Source organism: Homo sapiens, chromosome 3 (assembly GCF_000001405.40).
Source record: "Homo sapiens chromosome 3, GRCh38.p14 Primary Assembly".
NCBI lineage: Eukaryota > Metazoa > Chordata > Mammalia > Primates > Hominidae > Homo > Homo sapiens.
Genome location: NC_000003.12, coordinates 137,609,469 through 137,617,859, shown reverse-complemented (window position 1 = coordinate 137,617,859; position 8,391 = coordinate 137,609,469).

Genomic DNA, 8,391 nt, shown 5'->3' with positions numbered 1-8,391 from the left:
GTTCTATTTTTTTATCTTTTTATTGGCTTTCTAATTCGGGCTAATCATATGTGTAATCTCTAAGATCTCTTTCCGTCTCTGATTATTCTTTTTGAAAATATGTTCTTATTTTATTGATGTAATATTTTCTCTTTAAGGATGTTTTTATTATGTCTTTGGGAGTTTTCTTCTAAGCATTGTCTCTGTTTCCTTCCAATTCCTGTTTGTTTCATAGTTTTTAGCCTCTGCTTTCACAGTAAAATATTGTTATTCACTTGTATTTAAGAGATTCTAAAAAAGTCATCGAAAGTTTTGTGAATGTGGGTGAGGCCTTGCCTCTGGGGTAGTTTACTTTTATCTGCATGTATGAGCTGGGCTGACAGCTTTCTGGAACTGGTTGGGAAAGAACACTGGGGAGGGGTTTCCCTATTCAGCTGTTTTTCACTTAATGGACTCTTCCATTGTAGTTTGGCATTTCACCCCCTACCTCCTCCATGCTAGCTGATCCAAGCCTGGAGTTCTTTTGTCCTCATTTTCCAGATAATATACTTCCAATTCCCTAAAGATGGGAAAGTTGATCACTTGACTATGTAATTAAGTGATATGAGTTCAGCGGGTCTTTCTTTTTCTTTTCTTTTCTTTCTTTTTTTTTTTTTTTTTTTTGAGACAAGAGTCTCGCTCTGTTGCCCAGGCTGGAGTGCAGTGGCGCGATCTCGGCTCAGTGCAAGCTCCGCCTCCCGGGTTCACGCCATTCTCCTACCTCAGCCTCCTGAGTAACTGGGACTACAGGAGCCGAGTTTGGCGGGTCTTTCTAACTGTTCCTTATACAGACTAAACAATTCCTGTTTTCAGGTCCCCTCTACCCTGTCTTCTGAAGTATCTGACACTTACTGAGCCTTTCTGGGGTTCTGTGGTTGAATTGGCTTCCTTCTCACTTGTTACCTTTTTCATTCCTTAAGTAATTTACTACTTACCCATCTGCTTTCCTTCTCTGTCTCTCTCTCTCCCCCCCCCGTTATACTTCAGTAGTCACTGGAAACATTTGTTTCCTTGCTTATTTTTTCTCCTTGGCATTTGGATGCAATTTTCAAGCAGAGGGAAAAGTGAAAACACCTTAATTTCACTTTCGAAGGTAAGAAAATGTATCCTTAAAATGGACACCACATTTAGCTCCTTTTCCTAATGCCTCCTGCATTTTCTTGGAGAGTGGTAAAAGAACAGATAGTTCAGGGAAAGAAGGAGAGAATGGGGAAAGCTCTGTGCTGACACATTTCTAAGCATAGTGAGATTATGGAACCCGTGTTGAACAAAGACTCTTCCATTCATTTTTTTAAAAATTGAGACAGGGTCTCACTCTGTCATCCCAGGCTGGCATGCTGTGGTGTGATCATGGCTCACTGTAGCCTTAATCTCCTGGGCTCAAACAAGTCTCTCATGTCAGCCTCCTGAGTAGGTGGGACTACAGGCATGCACCACGACACCTGGCAATTTTTTTTTTTTTTTTTTTTTTTTAGTAGAGATGGGATCCTATTATGTTATCCAGACTGGTCTCAAACTCCTGGCCTCAAGTGATCCTCGCACCTCTACCTTCCAAAGTGCTTCCAAATTCTACCCTCACTCATCTTTGCTTCCCAATTCTTGTAAATAAAGCAAATAGGGCAAGTAAAGTGGTTTTGTAGATGAATTAACATTTTTAAGGGAGGTTGTTTTAAGAGGAATACGATAGCAAATCTTTGCACAACGTAAGGAATGTCCTTTAACACATCTAATCTGTAGATGAATTTTTTAAAAAAGATTTTCCTTAAAATATGTTACACTTATGCAGGCATAGAAGAAACACACAGTAACCGTTGTCTTTTACAAAATAATTTCAAGCCAGAATTTCCCTTTGGTTCTAAAGCAAAGAATGTTTATTAATAGAATGTGCATTTGTGCCACACGGGAGAAGATCTTCCTCGGGCAGATACTTCCCAGTGACTGTCCTATGTGGAGGCTGCAGTCAAGGGTGTCCCACATGTATTTCTCATATGAATATTGAATAGCAGCCTCATTTCTGTCCTGGGGGTGGGGGTGGAGATTCTTTACTCTGAATAATCTTGAAATAGTTTGTAATATGAGACCAACGGAACATATTATAATGCCTAAGCACGTTTACATTTATCTGGAACTCAAAATAGTGACGTTGAAACAGACTTCACTGTCCTAATTTAATTCTTATTTCTTTGCATGTGATTCTCAGTTCATGTCTCATATTTGCTCTTTTCTATCTTCAAAGGCCATCTAGACATTTTGAAAATTCCGAGTGAAGAGAAAGGATTAAGACCTTAAATACCTCTAAATAAAATAATTTTCACTAATGCCTATAAGAAAAAAAACCCCACATCCCAGAAGCAAAAGTAAAGAAGTCAGAGGCAAGAAAGAATGGAAAAGGGAGAAGAAAAACTCTTTTCTTGGAATTTCTTTGCACATGAGTTGTTTTGTGCATGAGGAGAGAGAATAGGAGGGAGCGGCTATTTGGCTGACATCCATCACGGGCCAATCATTCCTCTCTTTACTTGCCTATGTTACATTAAATGGTTAAATCCACACAGGAGTCCTGCAAGGTAGGTATTGGTATCAACAGTTAAGCAAACTGGGGGTAGAGATTTTAAATAAACTGCCTATAGTAATTATAGGCAAATTAGTAGCAAATACGCCTTCCAATAGTAAAAAACAAACAAACCAAGCAACAACGACAACAATAATTCCAGTCAAGCTTACCTAAGACTAATTATCAGGACTTTGAGGAGCAACTTGGATAATTGAAACTATATTATTCAATGAATACTTTAACTGCTTCCTGGAAATACTATCTTTATATACTCTCCAGTATATAGAAAAATGAGGATGTTGATCTCATTAAGGCTGACAATGAATGTTTTCTTGATTAAACATCCCCTTTATCACTGAGCACAACTTGTTTTAAAATTCCAAAGCTACGTGGGGCTTGTTGTATTCATATGCATAGAAAAATGAAAATGCAAGAGGATAAATACCTTGTCTGAAGTCACGTAGTTTGCAAATGGTAGAGTCAGATTTCAAATCCATGCACTCCAGCTTGTAACTAGTATGTTCTGCTTCCTCTTTTATTCTTGTCCCTTTGTGTATACTCTTTTATTTCCCATAAAAGATTTTAGAATCTTCTCTTTTTTCTTTGGTGTCCTGAAATATCACTGTGATGTAAATAAGTGTGTATGTGCATGTATGTGCATGTTGGATCTTTATTCTACTCGATACTTGCTAAGCCCATTTAATCAAAAGGGCTTATTCATTTTTTTTCTCAATATTTGGAAATTTTTTCTGTGTGTTCATGAATTTACTCCCTTACATTTTCTTTATTTTCTTTTCTTGAACTCTTTTTAATCAGATGATAAAACTTTTGGCCTTGTGTCTTCATTTAGCTGTCATACTCATGTATTTATTCATTTCTGCTTCATTCTGGTAAGATTCCTTGACTTAAACTTCCAGCTTGTTAATCGTTCTTCTCCCAGGTGCATTTTGCTTTGTAGGCATCTATTGAATTTATGACTTCAACAATCTAGTTTTTAGTATCTACGATCTCTAAATGATTACTGCACACATATGTATGTATACATGCACATATTATATTTTTAATATGTTTTAGAGGTAGTTAATTGAAGTTAGTTTACTGTTATGCTACTTCTAGTAATTATGCTTTCTTGTGTAACATTTTCTCCATTTGTTGAGGTTACTGGCTGTCATAATGTGGAGTTTCACCAAATATTTAGTGATTCTTGTTTGAGAACACATCTTTGTATTAAATTACATGTTAGTAGAGTGTCTTTTGATAACCATACTGGAAAAAGTAAGAAGATTCTTTGGTACACTAGAAATTGTGAAAGAGTTCCTGAAAAATGCAGAGCCTGCAAAGTCGCATTGAAAACAAACCACATTCCAAAAATACATGGAAGAAACAGCTGCAAAAGGTGAGAATGGCAGGCACCAGGAGGGTTTATTGTGCAGTGGGAACAAGAAGAATTCTATGGCAAATAGGAAGGTGAATTTCCTCCCAGTCGGTTTGACCTTCTCTAGAAGCTTAGGATGACATTTTATTTATTTATTTATTTATTTATTTATTTATTTATTTATTTATTTATTTATTTTTGAGACAGAGTCTCGCTCTGTCATGCAGGCTCAAGTACAGTGGTACATCTCAGCTCACTGCAACCTCCGCCTCCTGGTTCAAGCGATTCTTGTGTCTCAACCTCCCAAGTAGCTGGGATTACAGGTGTGCATTACCACACCTGACTAATTTTTGTATTTTTGATATTGACGGGCTTTCACCCTATTGGCGAGGCTGGTCTCGAACTCCTGGCCTCAAGTGATCCACTCGCCTCGGCTTCCCAAAGTGCTGGGATTACAGACGTGGGCCACCACGTCCTGGGGTGACATTTTAATGATGACATCGTATCAGCCCTCTTTGGAATCGTGCTCTTGACTCCTGACTTAGTTATTGATAATATTTATTGCTTCTCTCCAAAGTTGCTGTTTTAAATCTCTCTTGCTCTTCTTGCTGCTTGCCCCAGTCCTAGCAGCTCATACCCTCAATAAAGTGTATTTCACTATGCAATAACTTTTAGGGTAGCAGCTGTATAATCACAGTAAAAATGAAGCAAGTGACAGAGAAGAGAGAGAATTGGGCTGAGAGCTACAAGACCTAGTTCTTAGTCTCAGGACTGAATTGAATTTTAGGTTCTGAGTTTCTGATTTTTAATTTTTGCATTGAATGTAATAAATATATTTGGAGGATGAGGGTTTATATAAATTTTATGTTCAGAAATTTTGAAAAATGTAATTGTATGTTGTCAAAATTCCCTACTTCATTTCAGCAATGTGAGACTTAAAATATATGTTTTGATCAAATGGAACATTACTATATTTAATCCAACACATATAATGAAGTAAATACAAGTATGCAATTAGAGAAAAATGAGTTATGCTTTAAAATTAATTACAGATCATTTAGAAACATGTCAGTAAACTGTCAAATTATCATTAAAGATTAATCACATATGAGCTAAAAATGCTAAAAATAATTTAAGCATTACAAGTAAAGTTATGAAGATAATCAAATAATAGTCATTAAAGGGAATAGTCACTCCAGCTCCAGATATTTAATTTACAAGTCAAGCAGATTCAGGTCCAGTCCTCTGAAGGGAATGATAAAGAAAATGAGGAGCCTGGGGAGAATGTAGTGGAGGGGAGAGCACAGAGAGCTGACATTCTTTACAAAAGAATCTGCCCCTGAATCCATGGAATTTATTTCTGCTTCGCTTTCCAGTCTCAGACCCATAAAGGAAGGAATCTTCCCTGGAATGTTATGCCAGGAAATTGGCTGCGTCCTAAAGAACACTGGATCCGGATTCCAAAGCCAGGATTCTAGTCCTTACTCCCCCACATGGTTGCAGAGGGAAACTGAGTGCATTCTCACATCTTGGGACTTCTTGTTCCCTTAACTGTAGAAGGAGGAGTCAGGGCCAAATGACTTTCCTTTCTGGGCTTGAGATTCTAGCATTGAAAAGCTCAGGATGACCAAATGGAAACACACCTAAACATTTGAGAGAATGTATGTGATCTAATTTTTTAATTTTAGTTTTAAGTGGAATTACAGATGAAAGGAAAAGTCATTATCCTAGATTTCAGAAAAACAAAAATCATTGCAACTCTTCTTCTATAGCTCTGTCAATGTGCTGTGTCATATTTCAAATCCCTGATCATTTTTGGCAACCCCTAGGAGAGAAGATTAAGAACATCTCCCTAATCTGGCTGTGAGGGAGAAGGTAGAATTTAAACCTTCAATTATAATAAGAAACCCCATCCAAAGTTGAATATATCTACAGTGGTGTGCTATAAATGCTTTGGGTGATAATGACTACTCTTTTTTTTTACAGTGTATCCAAGCCTTTCTCGTGGCTTCACACTGATCATTCTTCTGTCTTCCCCAGACTGCATCTTGAAACCTCACCTCACCTTCATTTAAAACTACCTCCTTTTCTGACAGATCCCAAATTTCCAACAAACACATTTTGCCAGGATCAAAGGCAGATACATTTCCATACCAGTCAAACCCTGCTCAGTGAGCTTCATAGTGTATCCAACTTGTTTAGTTGGAGTGGAATTCTCTAATGAGCATGTGGCTGGAGATCTCACTTTTGTTGTGCAGAAGCTAGAGGACACGGTGAGCTGACAGCTGTATAACTCTCATTGAAATGGCACGTTTTAAAGGGTGCTTTGAAGCTAATAGAAGGAATGAAGAAACATACACATGTGCTGCCTCTCCATAGTCTACCTCAAAACATTAGATGCTGTTATTTACTTGGGTTGGCAAGGGGAGGAAGAGGGGAGATCTCTAGTGGAGATATTTAAATATTCTACATATTAAGAGCTGATGGGGATTAGAGTGTTTCTGAACCCTGTGCTGTATGAGGACTCTATCTCTGTTTTAGCTTCCTAGCCTTCTCTTTACTCTCCTTTCCTCGTTTCCATGTGAACTATAGGCACACAATTGTTTTTTTATTTTTTTCCTAGTAGGTTTGTCTCCAAATGGCTAACAAACATATGAAAAGAGATTCAACTTCAATTTACCATTTCACTCACCTGGGATAGATTTTTAAAAAATGGTACCCAGTGTGCATGAGGTCCAAGAAAGTAGAGATTTTTCATACAGTGGGATTCCAAATTGTTATAACCTTTCTGAGGAGCAATTTTGCAATTTATGTCAAAAGCCTTAAAAATACCCATTCTGACGCAAAATTTTTACTTAAATAAAAGTGTGTATACAAAATTTAGCTTCAAGAATGTGTTTCACAGTATTGTTTACAAATCTAAATGCTGAAAACAGGTTGAATGTTTACCAATGGTTATGTAAATTTTATCCCATGACGTAATAATGAAGGGTTCTTGTTGACATTGAATATATTCATGATACATGTTTAAGTTTTAAACACAACATATGATGCCATTTTATAAAATATTGAAAAGCTGTGTATGAAAAGCTGATAATACATTGAAATGTTACTAGAGGTTATATCTAATGATGGGTTTATAAGTCGGATTTATTGTTTTCTTTTTTATATCTTTATTTTATAAACTTCTAAAATAATATGAATGACTTTGTTAGTAAAATAAAGTGTTCTGTAATGGAAAGGTTGAGCTGGATAGTAAATCAGAGAGGAATATAGTTAAGAAGATGTTACAAAATCACAACATGCTGATGGCCTGAGCTAGTCTGGGAATAGCGTGAAGGGGATGTGTGACAGGTATTTTTCAAAGGTAGTACCAACAATACTTAATGACAACAGGGCACAGTGATGAGGAATGGAGACTTTATTGTGTGTGTGTGTGTGTGTGTGTATGTGTGTACTGTTGTGCAAAACAACACTTTGGTGTATCAGTTTGAGCTGTGAGAGAACATTTAAGGAGCTGTCCTATGGCTAGTGGAAGAAATGGGACTGGTGTTAGGTGCACTGTTGAGGGAGGAGGAGGATTTATTTTATCAGCCTAACTGAAACAATAAGAGTTAATTAATCCAAGAAAAAGACTGTGGTCATTAAAGACCTATGTATAGTGACCGTTAGTGAGTGGGAAGATAAAGAAGGACTGGTAAAAGAAACAGAAAACTATGTAGAGAAATAGAAGGAATTCAAACAAACTAATGCAAGATAATGGAAAACTAAAAGAGGGAGTTGTAAGAAAAATGGTGTGGATAACAAAATATGTTATTTCAGAAAGTTAAGGAAAATGATGCAGAGAAAAGGTCACTGAATTTGAGAAGGGACCCTTATTAGAGTCTTAGAGAAAGAATCCATTTCTGTAGATTGGTGAGAATAAAAGTCACATGGTAGAAAATCATTCATTCAAAAACTATGGCAGTGAAAAAAAAGAGAATGAGAGTGGTCATTAGAGGGATGAGCAGAGAAAAAGTAAAGCAGTGCTCTCCAGGATTGAGGACATCTGCATGTCTTGGAAGAAAAGGGCCCTGCAAAGAGAGGCTGGAAATAATAAATGAAGAGCAAGGTTCTTGAAGGGGAGGATATATTTGGGCAGCAGAGCACAGATGTGAGAGTACAAATAATAATAAAGAGACTATCTCTTTTTCTTAGAGATAAAAGAAAGATAAGAGAATGAATGTGGACAGCCACAGGTGCTGAGGGATGAAAACAAAAAGTGACTTGGTGCAACTTGAATAGCCTCAAAGTAGGATTTAGGGTTCTGTATACTGTTGTAGAGTCCTGAAATGTGGGCCCAGGAAAACAAAAGAGGCTTACAGTGTTAACTTTGGGAAGTAGGGAAAATGAAGAAATGAATAAAGGTTTTGCCAAGCATCACATATTAGGAAAGAGTGGCTAGTGT